The sequence below is a fragment of the Homo sapiens genome, chromosome 14, assembly GCF_000001405.40.
Source record: "Homo sapiens chromosome 14, GRCh38.p14 Primary Assembly".
In the NCBI taxonomy this organism is placed as follows: domain Eukaryota; kingdom Metazoa; phylum Chordata; class Mammalia; order Primates; family Hominidae; genus Homo; species Homo sapiens.
Window position 1 is genome coordinate 76,229,406 of NC_000014.9, and position 19,404 is coordinate 76,248,809.

The 19,404-nt window shown below is 42.7% G+C and overlaps 1 protein-coding gene and 1 long non-coding RNA gene across 5 annotated transcripts in view; one reads left to right on the forward strand and one right to left on the reverse strand.

Annotated features, from left to right (window-relative positions):
• GPATCH2L (G-patch domain containing 2 like) overlaps positions 1-6,150 on the forward strand; it is an 83,634-nt gene extending 77,484 nt beyond the window's left edge. For 2 of the 3 annotated variants that reach the window (XR_007064029.1, XR_007064030.1), the window contains 2 exons: positions 403-548; positions 924-6,150. Coding sequence is in view for 1 of the 3 variants with exons in the window: in XM_047431559.1 (XP_047287515.1) it covers positions 403-431 (29 nt within the window). In the remaining 2 variants the exon portion in view is untranslated. Of the gene's footprint in view, positions 1-402 lie in introns of all 3 variants that reach the window. The other variant, XM_047431559.1, reaches the window with a different exon arrangement.
• LOC105370575 (uncharacterized) overlaps positions 1-19,404 on the reverse strand; it is an 83,107-nt gene that overhangs the window by 2,093 nt on the left and 61,610 nt on the right. Inside the window, exon 1 of one of the 2 annotated variants that reach the window (XR_007064271.1) lies at positions 3,210-3,319. The exons of the other annotated variant lie outside the window; for it this stretch is intronic. This is a non-coding gene — a long non-coding RNA (uncharacterized LOC105370575). Of the gene's footprint in view, positions 1-3,209; positions 3,320-19,404 lie in introns of those variants that run through there. 2 annotated transcript variants of the gene reach the window in all.

Sequence of the window (19,404 nt, forward strand, 5' to 3'; positions counted from 1 at the left end):
AATGATTGTCTGAACATCACTGCTGGCTCCTATAATTGCTCATGTTTGTCAGAAAGCTCAACTCTTAGAAAGTGTTTTCTTGTACTTTACCAAAATCTATTTTCTGGTGTTTTTCTCGCATTAGTCCCTCCACATGTTAATATGGGCCCTGGAAGCAGAGGCTCGTTCTCCCGAGAAGCTGCCCTCTACGCTATGGGCCCTGCGTAAGTGTCAATAAGGTGGCTCACTTGCCTTATTTCCAGCAATAACCCTGATTTTCTTTGGAGAATCTGCCCTCCTCCACTCTCATGTCATGAGGTTTAATGACATCTCTCTCCCTCCTTTCTCCAAGCTCGATGGGTAGGCATAATTTCTAAAGCTATGCAGTGGGACTCACTGTCCTGAACTTTCAATCTTGATTAGGTGGTAGAAGGACAGCCCCCCTGCCCTGAGACAACACTCGGAGGCCTGTATTCCAGCGAGAGTGCCCTGACAAGACAGCTCTGGCCACCCTTGCCTGGCTCCTCCACCTTCCCGTCAGTTTCGTGAGTTCTCCAGCCTTTTCCCAGGTAAGTCCAGTTTCCCTTCAATGTATGAGAGTTATAGTCTATTGCCTATAGCAATATCATTCTCAATATAAAACAAAGTGCAGGTTTCAATAGTAACCAGGCTCTGAGGCTGGTCTGCCTTGACTCACGTTAGCCTCGCTGACACAGCTCTCTGGGTTTCCTGGTGGGCACCTCATTCTTCCACCATCCATTAAGGGACAGCCTAGCCTTGGGCCTGACACAGAAGGGGAGTAAGAAGCCCTTTGCTGAAACACAGATGGACCACATCCAAGAGTCTAATATGGCAAAGACAGAAGTGATGTCAATTGGATGTAGCATGTGTGTGTTGTAAATGAACCCATGCAGCATCACCGTGATCACCACTTTGTTTTCTAGGTGCTCAGAAGTTATTTAGGATCTGAGACTCTTGCTTGGGGGTGATGAGTAGCTCCTGTATTTGCAGAATGAATTCTCGGTGGGACCTTTGGTGAGTCTAACTTGGGCCTCAGCTTCCTCAACTGTAGAATAGATGGAATAATTTTATCCATCCCACTGATCATACCTGCAAGCCTCTGGGTGGGGCCTTACTTGTGGTCACATTGATCCTCTCAGTTGGCCCAACCGTACTTGTTTGTTGGGAAGAACAAACAAGAATTTGTGTAAAAATACTTAATAAAATGCAATGCATTATGTCTAGGATGTAGTTTGTTATAAGAGCACCAATCCTCATCTTCTAAAATCTTCTGTTCTCTTGGTTGCTTCCAAGATCATTGCCAGTTTACCAGTGCCATTTGCAAGGGTTATCAACATCTGGAAAGCAATTCTTCGAAGTAATCAACTTTAATTCATTAGCGTGGCTAGAGAACAGGTGCACTTTTTATCATCTCTGCACTTGGAGCTTTAATTCCCTCTTACCAACATTTGTATTACCCGTTTCATGGTAAAAGACTTTATTTGACAGAAGCGACAAGTAAATTAGGGGTGGAGGGCTTCTGCCTTCTTTCTGATAATCATTACTGATCCTAAATAGTGGCCTGTGCCATGTTTTTTTATACTTGCCCTAAACTTAACTTTAAAAAGCAGGAGCCATTTGTGATGCCCTGGGCTCTTTTTGCAAGTCTCAACTCATTGCTGGCTTCAGCCTTCTGACACTCTTTAACCAAAAGTCCGCTTATTTATTCATTCACATTCCATTCTGCCAATAACAGAAGCCCGTGAGAATAGAGGCAATATTTAGGAAAGTGTTTTGTGTATAGTATCAACTCAAGACCTCCTTGCCTCCCTCAAGGAACGAAGCCCTCACTGTTGGTACTGACCGGGGAGTGATTCAAAGGGTTTGCCAGGCTGAAGCCCCTGTTATAGACTCACATCATCCGTCATCACGACCGTCTCTTTCCTAGTGCTGCCTGTCGCCCTGCTCAGGGCTTCATGTGACCTTCTCTGTAGGTCCTCACTTTGTTTCTTCTTCCCATCCTTTATATTTGTCCTTCCCCCTTTTTAGTGGTGCCCATCAGAGTTCCTTCTGCAGCTGCCTAGATTTCCTTACATTCCATCTCTCTTTCTTTCCTTTTGGTGACATTTTTAGTGACAGAGCCAGATTTGAGGTTTTGAGGAGTTTCTAGTCATGAACCATCTTCCTTTATGCTATGGAATCACCCCTAGTATGGCTAAAATTAGAAACTAAACACATACACACACACACACACACACACACACACTCTTCTGGTTATCAAACTAAGCTACACATATTAGCGTATTGTAGACCATTTGAAAAATATACAGAAGTAGAAAATGCAAAAATAAAATCATATAATATTACCACTCCCAAACAGCTACTCATTGGCATTTTGTTATAATTTCTGTGGATGTTATTCTACATGTATTTTGAATTCTACATGTATATAGTAATTATACTATGCCTCCAACATTTTGTGTTTGATGTGTTACATAGCCATCCTCCCATATAAATATATATATATAAAACAGGGTCTCACTTTGTCACCAGGATAGAGTGCAGTGGGGCAAACACATCTCACTGCAGCCTCACTGCAGCCTCACTGCAGCCTCACTGCAGGCTCAAGCAATCTTCCTGCTTCAGCCCTCCAAGTAGCTGGGACTATAGGTGTGCGCCACCACGCCCAGCTAATTTTTGTATTTTTTGTAGCAACAGGGTCTCACCATATTGCCTAGGCTGGTGTTGAACTCTTGGGCTCAAGCCATCCTCCTTCCTCGGCCTCCCAAAATGCTGAGATTACAGGTGTGAGACACTGCACCAGGCTTTCATGTTAATATATATTTTTATAAGTGCTATATTTAATGGCTGTATCAAACACACAGTGTTCCTCTTATTGAACATTACAGTTGTTCCCAGGCTTTTTTTTTCTTGAGACAGAGTCTCACTCTGTCTTCCAGGCTGGAGCGCAATGGCGCCATCTCGGCTCACTGCAACCTCTGCCTCCTGGGTTCAAGCGATTCTCCTGCCTCAGCCTCCTGAGTAGTTTGGATTACAGTTGCCCGCCACTGCCCCCGGCCCGTTTTTCTTTTATAAATAACTCTGTTCGAGGTTAGCGGGAGCACAATGCACAAGACCACCCTCACTTGTGACACCAATTGCAAGTCCGGGGGCGTTCCAAAAACCATTCTGGGGTTTGATAATTCACTAGAAAGACTCGCAGAACTCACTGATAGCTGTTAGATTCACGGTTATGGGTTATTACAGCTAAAGGGCACAAATTAAAACCAGCCAAGGAAAGAGATGCAATTGGCAGAGTCCAGGAAGGTTGCAGGCATGGAGTTTCCAGTTTTCCTTTACCCATGGAGTCCTGGGAAGTGTCCTTTTCCCAGCACTGATATGTAACAATGCACATGGAATATTGGCAACCAGGGAAGCTCACTCGAGCCTTGGCATCCTGAGTTTTTGTTGGGGCTCCATAGTTGACTGCCCGTGCAGCTGCTCTTTAGTCTCCAGCCCCTCCAGAGGTAAAATGGATACTGCATGGCCCAATGTCCCCATCATAAATCACTGTTAAACTGTCCAGTGGCCAAGGCCCCAGGCAAACAAAGGCACTCTTACCAGGCAGGACATCCCAAGGTCCAAAAGCTCACCTTCCTGCAGCAGAGTACAAAGGCCAGACTGCTTTTTGGGTAAGGCGGATTCTTTACTACACACCCTATGACAAATATCTTTGTGCAGAAGCATTTTCCATTTTGAGGGTCAATTCTTAGGGTAAATTATTGGGAGTGGAATTATTGGAGCGAAGGATATAAATATTTTAAAGATTGTTGATACATATTGCCAAAATGCTTCCCAAGACGAGACCAATTTGTTTTCCATTCCTCTCCACCCCCACGCAGCAGGTATCAGAGCATCTGTTTTATCACAGCCTCACATGCAATGGGCATTGTCATTTTTAAAAAATTCTGGCAATTTGATAGATACAAAGTGGTGGTTTCAAATGATTGTCATTTGCCTTTCTGATTACAAATGAGGGAAAATACTTGCCCATCTTTAAAGGTTTTTCTTGTGGAGAATCTTGAACACCCATAAAAGTTGATAGAACGGTTTGATGAATTCCCACACGCCCATCATCCCAGCCCCACAACCGTCAATCAACTCCTGGGAATTCTACCTCATCCGCAGCCCCACCTTCTTCTCCCACTGTCATAGTGTTTTTGAAGAAAATCTCCTGGACACATAATTTTATCTTTAATATTTCAGTATGAATTTCTAAAAGATAAGGACTCTTCATTAAAGATTCACAAACGCAATGATCATACTTTAAAAATTAACGATAAGTCCTTAATGTCATCATATACCCAGTTAGTATTGAAATTTCCAATTGTTTCATAAATAATAGGGTTTTTTTACATTAAAAACAATTAGGGTCCAGGCCAGGTGTTGTGGCTCATCCCTGTAATCCCACCACTTTGGGAGCCCAAGGCAGGAGGATCACTTGAGGACAGGAGTTTGGGACTAGTCTAGGCAACATAGCAAGACCTTCTCTCTACAAAAATAAGAAAAAGGAAAAATTAGCCATGTGCAGTGGACACACCTGCAGTCCTAGATACCTAGGAGGCTGAGGCAGGAGGATCACTTGAGCCCAGGAGTTTGAGCCTGCAATGAGCTCTGATTGTGCCACTGCACTCCAACCTGGGCAACAGAGCAAGAACCTGTCTCTAAAAAATAAAAAATAAATTAGGATCCAAATGAGGACCAGATATTGAGATTCATGGAGATTCATAGATATGTCTTTTAATGTAATATATGTCCTTTAATTCTTTAATCTATGGATTCCCTCTCTCTCTGTCTCTTTCTCTCCAGCTGCTTTCCTCTAAGACATGGCTTATTGTTCACTGTTGTATCTCTGTTGCCTAAAACAGCAGGTGTGGCAGACAGACTTTAAGGTGTCCCATGATTCCTACCTCTTGGGGTCTACAGCTTTGTGTAATCCCATCCCCTTGGCTGTGGCTTGCCTCTAGCCAATAGGATGTGGCAAAGGTGATGAGATGTTATGCCCATGGTTATGTTATAGAAGAGTCTGTCTTGTTATCACTCTCTCTCTGTCCCTCTCCCTGTTACTGGCTTTGAAGGAACAAGCTTCCATGAAATAAATGGCCATATTGGAGAAGCCCAAGTGGCAAGGAACTGTCAGCAGTCTCTAAGAGCTGAGGGTAGACTCCAGCAAGAAACTGAAACCCTCAGTCTGACAGCCACAAGGAAATAAATTCTGCCAACAACCTGAAGAAGCTTGGAGCAGATCTTTCCTCAGTTGAGCCTCTGATGAGACTGCAGCCCGAGCTGTCACCTGGATAGCAGCTGGTGAAACCCTTCAACAGAGAAACCAGCCAACCTGTGTGTAAACTTCTGACCTGCAGAAACTGTAGATAAAGAGTGTGTGTTATTTAGAACTGCTAAGTTTGTGGTAGTTAAGCAGCATAGAAAATGAATACAGTAGGCCAGGAGTGGTGGCTCACGCCTGTAATCCCAGCACTTTGGGAGGCCGAGGCCAGCAGATCACCTGAGGTCAGGAGTTTGAGACCAGCCTGGCCAACATGGAGAAACCCTGTCTCTACTAAAAATACAAAATTAGCAGGGTGTGGTGGTGCATGCCTGTAATCCCAGCTACTTGGGAGGCTGAGGCAGGAGAATTGCTTGAACCCAGGAGGCGGAGGTTGCGGTGAGCTGAGATCACGCCGTTGCACTCCAGACTGGGCAACAAGAGCGAAACTCTGTCTCAAAAAAAAAAAAAAAAGAAAAAAAGAAAATGAATACAGTAGACATTCACCAAACTATATTGAATTGAATGACTGATATGGTTTGGCTGTGTCCCCACCCAAATCTCACCTTGAATTGTAATACTTTCCACATGTTAAGGGTGGGGCAAGGTGGAGATAATTGAATCATGGGACAGTTTTCCCCATACTGTTCTTGTGGTAGGCTTAACTCGAATAAGTCTCATGAGATCTTATGGTTTTATAAATGGGAGTTCACCTGGACAAGCTCTCTTGCCTGCTGCCATGCAAGACACGCCTTTGCTTCTCCTTTGCCTTCTGCCATGATTGTGAGGCTTCCCCAGCCATGTGGAACTATGAATCCATTAAAACTCTTTTTCTTTACACATTACCCAGTCTTGGGTATGTTTTTATTAGCAGTGTAAAAATGGACTAATACAATGACTAAATATGAAGGCTAGTTAAGACCTGATCAGACACTGTGCTTTTAGCTGAATGAGTCCTCCAGCCATTGACCAGATGGTTGAACTTCACTATCCATTGTTTCTGAGGTGGTTTTGTGACCCACATCAGCACTAATTGAGTTGGTCAGGCCCTTCCTCCAGCCAGGCTGATTGTGGCATTCTCTGACAGTTGCTTTACCCCCTCTCACCTTCCCCCATGATCTCCTTGCAGCCTGCCCACACTGGCCTTAGGGTGACTTTCTGGAGAGGCAAGCATCTTCATGTGAGACCTGCCAAAGGGTGTATACCTTCTCAAAAGACCCTGCAGTTTCTTCTCCAATGTGGACAACGCTGAGCATATGATCTTTCGGTGTCTATCTGCACTTTCTTTGACCTGTGAGTATTTCTGTTTATGGTGTAATTTACTTTCTCCTCTCCACATAGCTTCTCCAGTCTGATTTCTCAATGGTTGTAAATTGCTCCCAACAAAAAGCTTTAGAACATAAGCATTCAGTCTTGAGCTGAGCCTGTGTGGTCACTGTGCAGATCTGTCCACCCTGGGACACTCCCTGGTGCCCTCCCACCGTGCAGGGACAGTTCTCCCTTTTTGTCTCCATGGCCCATGGCTTCACAAACCCTCTGTTCTCTCTCTAATGTTCTCTCTGTCACCTCCCCTTTCCTAGCCTGGGTGTTTGAAAACAATCATTGTCAGAATATGACATTTAATCTGTTTTCAGTTTTTATTGTAAAAAGAGGAAGCGAAGACTAGCGGTAAGATGCAGATGACTAATGAAAGAATTCCTCACAGCTGTTCAGGGATATATATTTTTTTCTGTAGTGGAGCGAGACAGATTCCCATCACAGCTCGGGGACTCGTTCCGTGAAGCCCCTCATCTGTCATGCTCTGGGGGTGAAGGGGGCAGTGGAGAAATGTCATTATGGATGTAACTGGACTCAGAAGTGACTGGTCAAGGTTGGCACTGCAGTCCTGATGGAGCGGCTTATGGAAGTTTTTCTGGGAGGCACTGCTGGCTGGTGGAAAGGGCAGCTCCAAACACCCCTGCTTGTGGTTGATTCCCAGGTTCCGTCCAATCAGACCACCTTAGAGCTGGAATAAGTCCCTCCAACATAGCTATCCAAGGAAAATACCCTTCTACCCATTCCAAACCAGATAGGATATCAAAACAAGTATTTTCTCAGGTTTTGCACCAGACCTGAACAGGTGCTCTAATCATCTGTGCTGATGCCACTGGCCCATCTCTCTGGGAACTCTGAGCAGAGTGGAACCAGGGTGGTCTGGATCTGTGCCTGGTGCATTACACCAACAGGGAGGAATGCTTGGATCCGTGGTGCCTGCATCAGGCTGGCCAATCCTGTGTGGATACTGATTAGTCTCAAAGCGAGAATGCTAAGGAAGACAGAGATCAGCCCATCTTATAAGACACAGATTCTACTGGGCGCTGTGGCTCACGTCTGTAATCCTAGCACTTTGGGAGGCCAAGGTGGGTGGATCACCTGAGGTCAGGAGTTTGAGGCCAGCCTGGCCAATGTGGTGAAATCCTGTCTTTACTAAAAATACAAAAATTAGCCGGGTGTGGTAGTGGGCACCTGTAATCCCAGTTACTCAGGAGGCTGAAGCAGGGGAATCTCTTGAACCCGAGAGGTGGAGATTGCAGTGAGCTGAGATTGCACCGCTGCACTCCAGCCTGGGCAACAGATCGAAACTCCGTCTCGGAAAAAACAAACAAAAAAAACAAAAACAAAAACAGCAACAACAAAAAAAAACAAGAAAACACAGATTCCTTCTCCCTACTGCCTTTTCCTAACCCCAGGAAACAACTTGAGCAAAGAGCTTTTCAGTCACTAATAGTTGTCCTTCCCCTTTCTGCTCCTGCCTTCAGGCTTGTTCACTCACCCTCCACCAGAGGCAAAGAAGCTGCCCCGCAGGCACTGCCTACAGCATCAGTGAGCCCCCTTGGGCTTCTCCACCCGACTGGACCCATGGCTGTCATGCCTTGACTGCCCTTCCTCCCAGGTTTCCAGTTTGCTTGGGGAAAGAGCCTTTCTCCGTATTTCCTTATTGCCAGCCTCATTCCTAAAAGGATTTGAAATGTCTGACAAAAGCACAAATGTGCAGCAAAGGAGGACACCCAGGCAGGGGAAATAAAGGCAGGAAATGTGAGGCAAAGCCACGTGAGGCTCTCATACAAAAGGCTGATTGATATTCACTTGCTAATTTGATTCTGCGTTTTCTTGAAAGAAGGAAACATAATCAACAATTCCCTTCACAGTGTCCATGAGATAAAAGCAAACGAGTTGTTTGGGAGAAAGTTCTGAAGTGCCAGATGCATCTCTGGTGGGATGCTTATTCTTTTAAGGATGTGAGCAACACCCTCAATCATGATGAGTTTTATGAGCCATACAATTATTAAAAATTTTTAACTTTCTTATTAAGATTCCTGTGAAGATCACTGGCATTTGAATTCTGATTGTCTTTAGAAAGACTTTGTGTCTTATGAAATCATGTTTGAAAACACGCTGTATTTTGTCCTTTTTCTTCCTCCTCCCTCTCCTATTTCTCTGCTCTGTCTCTCCCCTTTCCCATTCTCTTCCTCACCCTTCTTTCTTTTGTTTGAGACAGGGACTCGCTGTGTCACCCAGGCTGGAATGCAGTGGTGTTCACTGCAACCTCTACCTCCCAGGTTCAAGTGATCCTCCCTTCTCAGCCTCCCAAGTAGCTGGGACTGTAGGTGCATGCCTGGCTAATTTTTGTATTTTTTGTAAAGTTGGGGTTTCACCATGTTGCCCAGGCTGGTCTCGAACTCATGGGCTCAACGGATCTGCCTGCGTTGGCCTCCCAAAGGGCTGGGATTACAGGCATGAGCCATTGTGCCCAATCCTTACCCTTCTTGAAAGGACACTACACATTTTCCACTTTCAGGGGTCAGGGAGTTTGGGCTCTGGTACTTACTCTATGAACAGTTGTCTATGCCATTCATTGTGCTATGTGTGTCCTGTGTCTGGATCTGTCTGTGCGATTTCTGTGCTGGTGTGTTTATGCATGAACAAGAATAAGTGAAAGTATCCAGCCGAGCTACTTTACTGAGTTATGATTAAATTACATGCAATAAGCTGCGGGTAGGACTTTTTTTTAAAGCAGTGTTTCTCAAACTCAAGCATGTTTTAGAATCTCCTTAAAAGTTTGTTAAAACACAGATTGCTGGGCCTCACCCTAGAGCTGCTGATTTCATAGGTCCAGGTGGGACTGAGAATTTGCATTTCTAACAGGGTTCTAGGTGGTGTGCTGCTGTTGGTCTCAGTGTCGCTGTTGCTGTCAGTCTTGGTATCATGGAGAACCACTGTTCTAAAGAAACTTCCTTTCCTTTCCCTTAAACCATCCTAGGTTGGACAACCAGTTGTGGTCCATTTGGGAGCTCCCATCTCATTAAAAAATGAGAACATCCTGAGCCAGACAAAGATGCTCTTTGTACTTTTAGTTTCATTCTGAACCCAAGCCAGAAATCTACCTAAGCAACTCACGTGGGAGTCATGAGGAAGCAAATATTTAGACTTTACGAGCATGCGCATTCTATACTGACCAGTGTTGAATTTTTCCACGATTTTCATTTGGGCAAAGTACTATGTGTTACAATCAACCAGGTGGTACTTCTCAGATGCCTGATAATGTTCTGAAAATTAGAGAGATAAACATTATCCTGTGTGACAAATACAGGTATGTCAGTACAGGCTGGCTGAAGATCTGATTTGCTGGGTGAAAGCTCCTTTCCCAACTCTTTCACCTGAAACTAAAAGTTCTTGCTAGTGAGCATCCATTTTGGCCAGAGTGTGGCTACATCACCAACCCAAAAGGGTTTAGGGAGGACAGGGAACAAGATTTCATAGCTGCATAATACCAGGCATTCCCAGAAGTGCTTTGCCACCTTTGCTGGTATGTCTTCTGTGGCTTTACATGTGCCAGGTAAGCTGACAGCAGAACATCAGTATCCACTTGTTGTGGTTTTAAAATATGTTCACATATACAGTTGAAAGCATTCCTTCTGAGAACTGGAACAAGACAAGGATGCCCGCTTTCACCACTTCTATTCAACATAGTGCTGGAAGTCCTAGCCAGAGCAATCAGACAAGAGAAAGAAATAAAGGGCATCCAAATTGGAAAACAGGAAGTCAAATTGTTGCTGTCAGCCAATGATGTGATCATATACCTAGAAAACCCTAAAGACTCATCCAAAAAGCTCTTAGATCTGATAAATGAATTCAGTGAAGTCTCAGGATACAAAATCAATGTACACAAATCAGTAGCACTGCTATACACCAACAATGACCAAGCTGAGAATCAAATTAAGAACTCAATCTCTTTTATGACAGCTGCAAAAAATTAAAATACTTAGGAATATATATATATTTTTTTAATTTTTAATATATATTGTGCCACTGCACTCCAGCCTGAGTGAGAGAACGAGACTCTGTTGAGACACTGCTGGAGTGCAGTGGCACAATCTCGGCTCACTGCAACCTCCACCTCCTGGATTCAAGTGATTTTCATGCCTCAGCCTCCTGAGTAGCTGAACTACAGGCATGCGCCACCACACCTGGCTAATTTTTGTATTTTTAGTAGAGACCAGGTTTCACCATGTTGCCCAGGCTGGTCTCAAACTCCTGACCTCAAGTGATCTGCCTGCCTCAGCCTCCCAAAGTGTTGGGATTATAGGCGTGAGCCACCGTGCCCAGCCCCTGACTTAGGAATATACTTAACCAAGGAAGTGAAAGATCTCTACAAGGAAAACTATGACACACTGAAATCATAGATGATATAAACAAATGGAAACACTTCCCATGCTCATGGATGAGAAGAATCAATATTGTGAAAATGACTACACTGCCCAAAGCAATCTATGGATTCGATACAGTTCTCATCAAAATAATATCATTCTTCACAGAACTAGATAAAACAATTCTAAAATTCATATGGAACAAAAATGATCCTGCATAGCCAAAGTAATACTAAGCAAAAAGAACAAATCTGGAGGCAACATACTACCTGATCTCAAATTACACTACAAGGCTATAGTTACCAAAACAGCATGATACTGGTATAAAAATAGGCATATAGACCAATGGAACAGAATAGAGAGCCGAGAAATAAAGCCAAATACTTATATCCAACGGATCTTTGACAAAGCATACAAAAACATAAATTGGGGAAAGGACACCCTATTCAATAAATGGTGCTGGGAAAACTGGAAAGCCACATGTAGAAGAATGAAACTGGATCCCCATCTCTCACCTTATAGAAAAATCAACTCAGCATGGATCAAAGACTTAAATCTAAGATCTGAGACAATAAAAATTCTAGATAATAACATCAGAAAAACTCTTTTGGACATTGGTTTAGGCAAAAAATTCATGGCTAACCCCCCAAAAGCAAGTGCAACAAAAATAAAAATAAATAAATGGACCTAACTAAACTAAAAAGCTTATGCACAGCAAAAGAAATAATTAGCAGTGTAAATGAACAACCCACAGAGTGGGAGAAAATATTCACAAACTATGGATCCAACAAAGGACTAGTATCTGGAATCTACAAGGAACTCAAATCACCAAAAAACCCCCCAAATCATCCCATCAAAAAGTGGGCAAAGGACATGAATACATTTCTCAAAAGAAGATATATAAACAGCCAACAACTGTATGAAAAAATGCTCAACATCACTCTTCATTAGGCAGATGCGAATTAAAACCACAATGAGATACCACCTTACTCCTACAAGAATGGCCATAATTAAAAAGTCAAAAAACAATAGATGTTGGCATGGATGTGGCAAAAAGGGAATACTTTTACACTGCTGTTGGGAATGTAAATTGGTACAACCACTATAGAAAACAGTGTGGAGCCTCCTTAAAGAACTAAAAGTATATCTAGCATTCAATTCAGCAATGCCACTACTGAGTATATACCCAAAGGAAAAGGAGTCATTATATGAAAAAGACACATGCACACGCATGTTTATAGCAGCAAAATTTGCAATTGCAAAGGTAAGGAGCTAGCCTAAGTGCCCACCAGTCAAGGAGTGGATAAAGAAAATGCGGTATATATACACCATGGACTACTACTCAGACATAAAAAGGAATGAAATAATGTCTTTTGCAGCAACTTGGATGGAGCGGGAGGCCATTATTCTAAGTGAATTAACTCAGGAATGGAAAACCAAATATTGTATGTTCTCACTTATAAGCAGGAGCTAAACTATGAGAATGCAAAGGTATAAGAATGATATAATGGACTTTGGGGACTTGAGGGGGAAGGTTGGAACAGGGTGAGGGATAAAAGACTACATATTGGGTATAGTGTACACTGCTTTGGTGACAGGTGCACTAAAATATCAGAAAGCACCACTAACCACTAACCATGATCATCTAGACCATGTAACCAAAGCCTGTATAAATGAAAACCATGAGATATCACCTCACACCTGTTAGGATGGCTATTATCAAAATGATAATTATCAATATGAACCCCTGCACACTGCTGGTGGGAATGTAAGTTAGTACAGCCATTATGGAAAACAGTATGAAAGTTTCTCAAACAATTAAAAATAAAATTACCATATGATCCAGCAGTCTCACTACTGGGAATATATTCACAGGAAATGCAGTCAGTATGTTGAAGAGATATCTGCACTCTCATGTTTACTGCAGCACTATTCATAATAGCCAAGATATGGACTTAACCTAAGTGTCTATCAAAGGATTAATGGATAAAGAAAATGTGGTATATATACACAATGAAATACCATTCAGCCATACAAAAGAAAGAAATCTTGTCACTTGCAACAACATGGATGAAGTTGGAGGATATTATATTAAGTGAAATAAGCCAGGCACAGAAAGACAAATACTACACAAACTTATTCATCTGTAGAATCTAGGGGGATTGCTTTCATGAAAATACAGAGTAGAATGGTGGTTACCAGGGGCTGGGGTGGTTGTGGGCTGGTGCAAGTTGGGGAAGAAAAAAAATATGTTCACAAATTCTTTGATATTCCTCCTTTTGAAAGGTGGTACTTAATTTCCTATCCCTTGTGTGTAGGTTCTACTGAGTCTCTCTTATAATGAACAGAATATGGCAGAAGTCATATTTTACCCAAAACTTGATAACTTCTGAAGGGAAGTCATAGAAGACATTGTAGTTTCCTCTTTTTCCACTTCCTGGTATCACTCACTCTGGAGGAAACATCTGCCATGTTGTGAGGAAGATCAAGCAGCCAAGGCCAAGTGCAGTGGCTCATGCCTGTAATCCTAGCACTTTGGGAGGCCAAGGCAGGTAGATCACCTGAGGTCAGGAGTTCAAGACCAGCCTGCCCAACATGGTGAAACCCCATCTCTACTAAAAATACAAAAACTAGCTGGGTGTGGTGGCAGGTGTCTGTAATCCCAGCTACTTGGGAGGCTGAGGCAGGAGAATTGCTTGAACCCAGGAGGCAGAGGTTGCAGTGAGCTGAGACTGTGCCACTGCACTCCAGCCTGGACAACAAGAGTGAAACTGCATCTCAAAAAAGAAAAAAAAAAAAAAAAGATCAAGCAGCTTTATGGTGAGACCCATGTGACAAAGATCTAAAGCCTCCTTTCAGCAGCCCTTGAGTGAGCCACCTCGGAATTGGATCCCTCAGTCCCAGTCACATCTGCAAACCTGGAAAACACCTTCACTACAACCTCATGAAAGACCATGAGACAGAACGGCCCAGGTAAGTGACTCCCAAATTCTTGACCCACAGAAATTTTGAGATAATTAAAATTTGTTAATTTAAGCCACTAAGGTGGGATAATTTGTTACACGGTAATTGATAACTAATACATTACAATAAAACAAACCTTTATACCACCACTGCTAAGTCTCTGTACAGGTGACATTCCTTCTAAGAAACTTTCAGTGATTTTAGTACCTCAAATTAAGTGCTCACTCCACAGTTAAGCGCCCAAGATGCTCCTACATATAGCCCTAAACAGACCCAACTGGACTAATATTTGCTGTGCCCTGAACACCTGTCAGACTTTCACACCTTGGCCAGCCAGCCTGAAATTATACCCCAGGTCCCGTCTCCACTTTATAAAATCCTTGCATCCTCCAGGTCCTATCCCAAAATCCACCTTCCCCATGACATCATTTTTGAGTTTCTCAGCCAGATGCTCCTCTCTTCATCCAAACCCACATTATACTTTGTGTGCCTGCTTATTGCTCACCCAATAGCCTTTCCCCCTTTGCTTCTTGATGGCAGATCCCTGGTTTAGTTTGGGTGGTCATCCCTATTTTGAGTCAGGTCAAATCCTGTTTAGTTGAAGTCATTCATAGTGGCCCCAATTCCCTTGGCAATGACTGGTGCAGGAGTGGTCATGTGATATATTTCTGGCCAATGAATTATGAGGAGATGTTTGCTAGACAAGAGCATAGCATCCTGGGAAAGGCTTTTAGAAAGATATTATGGAAGAAAGAGTACTGCTGAATATTATCTGCATAGATATGATTTTTAGAATCATGGCAGCCACCTTATAAATCAAAGGGAGGTAGCCCAAGGATGGGTGGACGGATGAGCAGAAGATAGAAAGAACCAGAGTTCTTGGCCAGGTGCTGTGGCTCACACCTGTAATCTGAGCACTTTGGGAGACAGAGGCGGGCAGATCATGAGGTCAGGAGTTTGAGACCAGCCTGGCCAACATGGTGAAACCCCGTCTCTACTAAAAAATACAAAAATTAGCTGGGCGTGGTGGCACATGCCTATAATCCCAGCTACTCAGGAGGCTGAGGCAGGAGAATCACTTGAACCTGGGAGGAGGAGGTTGCAGTGAGCTGAGATTGTGCCACTGTACTCCAGCCTGGGCAACAGAGCGAGACTCTATCTCAAAAAAAAAAAAAAAAGGAAAAAGAAAGAACCAGTGTTGCTAGATTTTGTTGGACCGTGAGTTAGTCAATCCTGTTATTGCCCTGGACTTCATAGTATGTGAAGCCCTTTCTTAGCTGTTCTAGATTAAGCCAGTTAAGTTGATTTTGCTGTTACTTGAAGCTGAAAAGTGTTCTAATTAGCTAAAAACCCTGGTGATAGTTTTTAAATTTATTAAAGTTATCCTTGTGCTCATTTTTCTTTGTATCCAGTTATAATCTGAAGGGTAGTGATTGTATTTTGATTGAAGTAAGTTGCACATACTGAAAAATACGTAACCTTAGAGTTTGGTTTGGTGAATGTTCACAAAGCAGCACAAATATATAAATAGCACCCAGATCAAGAAATAGAACATTACCAGCACACAAAAGCCATTCTTCTACCTGCCCCGCTTTTAGACACTATCCCCTTCCAAGGATAACCACTTTCTGTACTTGTAAAGACATAGATCAGGTTTGCCTGTTTTTAAACTTCACGCTAATGGAAGCACACGGCATGTACTCTTTTGGTCTGGCTTCTTTTGCTCATTATCATGTCTGTGAGATTCACCCAATCTGTTGTATGTGTCAGTAATTTGCTCATTCTCATTGAGATACATTATTCCATTGTATAAATATACCACAATTAGATGTTCTGTCTACCATTAATGAACTGTTTGTTTCCAGTTTGGGGCTATTACAAATAGTGTTGCTAGGAATGCTCCTGTGCATTCTTTTGGTGAGTTTATGTACGCAGAGCAAGGGGCTGGATTGATGGGTCATAGGCTAGGCATTTGTTCAGTTTTGGTATGCATATTGCCAAATGGTTTTTCAGGTGTTGCCTTTTTATTCATCTTTGGATTTCTACACACACACTCACATTTCTTACCCTCTTGTCTCTTTTTACCCTAAGAAAATACTTTGCACATAGTGAGTACCTGACAAAGGATGTAACAAAGAGTGTACATATATACACACGTATACATGTTTGTAAATGCATGCGTGTATGTATACACATATATAAATAAATCCCCGTGTTGTGTATAATAGCTCAAATATAACAACAACCCTAGCAAGTCAACAATCAAACAGGCTATGCTGGGGCTGAAAGGTGTGAAGTTGGTGGGGGAATGGCTGGGGACTTCCATTCCCATCTGAGATTTGGCTCATCTACAGGTGAATTTCAGTTGCCTTTGGTCTGAATTCTGGAAGTTGCTCCAACTTACGTCTTGTGGTAGTTGACAAAATAGAAGCAAGCCTTTGTAAGAAAAGGGTGTTACTGAAGAAAGAGGTCATCCTTCTTCATGGAGAATGGGGGAGAGATGAGCCTGTTAGAGTGCTTGGTGCAGAGAACAAGACTTTTGGAGAGAGGATCGTCCAGTACAACTGCCAGGCTAAGGGTCTTAGATGCAATATTGATTTTCTTAGATCATTTAGTTTTCAACAAACTCCCTTTTCCTGCACACTTTTTCCTCATTCAACCTTTAGAAAGGACTTGGGCTGCGCATGATACGGGCACAGCTCTTCTGTGAACTGTCTCACAAGACTGGAACAACTTTCAGAATTTCTATAAAAGAAAACATTACAGTATTGGGGAATTTTTTTTAATCACAGGAGGACTCTAAAATGTGTACTGCCATTTTCTTTAATCTTGATTGACTTCATGGGAAAATTTGATGCCACTAAGAAATATATAATTTCCCACAGATGTTATATCTCTGCTATTAAATGTTGATGTCCCAGAACCCCGTGTGCTCGTGGAAGGGTCTAGAATCCATGACTTTGGCTGATCACCTACCTGTTTGCAGTTTCTAATGGAAAAAAAGAGCTCAGTGATTGCAGCCCCGGGTCTCTGTATAAGGAAATTTTGTGTGTGTGTGTGTGTGTGTGTGTGTGTGTGTGTGTGTGTGTGTGTGTGTGTTAAGGGTGATGGTGGTGAGGGGGTCATGAATATATCTTTTACCATGAGAGGTATGAATGATTACCATTTGAATAGCAAAAATACAGGTCTTTAAGTCAAGTAATTGGAGAAAGGCTTGGAAACTCTACCAAGTAGATCTGCAAATAGGCATCAGAAGACATTACAGGATTCATAACAAACTAAGCTGATATTTTTGAAGCGAAGCCAACAGTAATTCACAATTCAAAGGGAAAAATGACAACGCTTGAAAACCTGACTGACTCTAAGAGAACACTGGTGACTGAAGATGCACTTGGTAGGACTGTCCTTTTGGAAAGCTGGGGGAATCCTGCCTCTGAGCAAGCATTTTCAGGAGTGGCTGTGCCGTTTGGCCAAGGACTGCACAGATGCCAGATGGCTTTGGAGACCCTAGAGTAGAAGTTCCTAGTGAACTCTGGGAATGTGCTAATGCAAGCTTATGAATATGAATTTCAGTAATCCTTAACCTTCTCAGGAGGTTACTAGCATGAACCTCTTTGTCATGTGGAAAAAAAAAAGTCCTTGTAGTTGTTCATCATTTGCCCTGAAGAACCAAGAAAGGACTCATGCTACTTCTTGGCCCAACAGGGAGTCAACACAGCTCAACAGTAGGACACTGAGAATCAGAGTCCCTCACTAATAGAATGTTGTAAGAGTCAAGCCCCTAATGCCTTTAGTGCAGATGTTTCAATCTTCCTGCAGGTCTTGGGATGGATGGGATGAGTTAATAGGGCATGCCCTGAAGGAGTAACCACAGAGTGAAGTACTAGTCTTGGCAATACAGAGCCCCAAGTATTAGCCGCTGAGTGGGTTTAGTTGAGAGGAGGGTGTGCAGTGATCAACTGATATGTGGTATATGACATATGTTATGGTGCGGGATGATGGCGGGTGTTGGAGGTAGCCTGGGTTGGGTAAGTCCAGGTCAGCCCATTGTCTGATTATTTCTAGTCTTTTCTTTTATCACAAAAAGATTTTCAGTCATCTCTTGTGACTGATTTTCACTTAATTTTCAGATAATTTCCTTTAAAAAGTAATCAGTAAGCCACGAATTGATTTATAGCTGAAGTCAGTTTCTATGTATGTTGTGTGGTTCCAAATATATATTTCAAAGCTCTGTGTGATATACAGAACCATAGAGAGATCAGAAAACATACAAAGAATAGATCTTGTCATTTGTGAATTTGGTGAATTAGACCATTTGAATCACCACTTGAAGGTTTGCTGTCCTGCAAGTCTTACGTATTTCTCAAAATAAAGGAGGTCTTCAGACACCCAGGTGTCCAATTACCTTCCATTTCCAGCCAGCTAATGTATTTTGTACTAATCTCCACTTTGCCTTTCGTAGTCCTCAGTAGCTAAGCCTTACTCTAACCAGATTCCCAGTTGATTATTTTTTAAACGAGTGTTTCTCTGCTTGTGAAGGTTGCGTATAAAGATACTTGCACATCCTGAGCTCCTGTAGGATATCAAAGGACAGAATGCTCACCATGAAAATATTAAATAGGATAGAGGCATGAGGAAGGCATAAGAACACACACCTTTGTAGTTGTGTTTTTCTGCTGGAAGCTGCAGATCAGTCTTCATTTTGTGGAATATTTTTACAAATGTGTTTATTGACTGAGTTTTAGAAAGGTAGGTGTACCTGTGGCTTGTTCTATGTTAGCTACCGGTAGCTTTAGGATTTCCTGCCTAATGTGTTAACTTGGTCGTGGACCTGTCATGCCGAGTGAGCGATAAAAGGCACCGGAACCTGAGGAGATGCCTAGTGCATGGGCAACTCTATGATTCACTTGTTGACATGTCTAGTTTGGTCTTGAAATAAAAATAAACAAATTTAGAACATCGGCTTTATTTCTGTGGTGTTCTACCAAACTCTGATTTTTAGCATTCCAACCTCTTATAATGGCATTCAAAGTTGCCAAATGCCTCACAATTATTCTTTCTACCCCATATAAATGGATCTTTTAAACAGAGCCACTTTCTAGGCTGGCAGGAGGACTTGGGAACTTTGCTATAATTACTTCTCTAAGGCCTTCTCTCCTCCCAAATGCCCTGGGGTGTTCCAAAGCTTGATGGAAGATATACTTGGTAAGATTGAAGAGTCTGCTGGGAAAGGCAGGTGAGAATGAGAATGTTTAGAGTTGGAGAAAGAAGGTGGAGAATTGAGTAGAGGATGCAGCGGCCACGGTGACTGGAGGCAAGTCCTCGGAAAACTGGAGAACGACTGTAGCTCAGAGAGTCAGGGCGAAGGAACTGACGCGCCTGGAAGCAGAGAGGACTCTGGGACTAAGGCCCATGGTAAAAGGCTTCCCCTTACTCTCCACGTGCTCA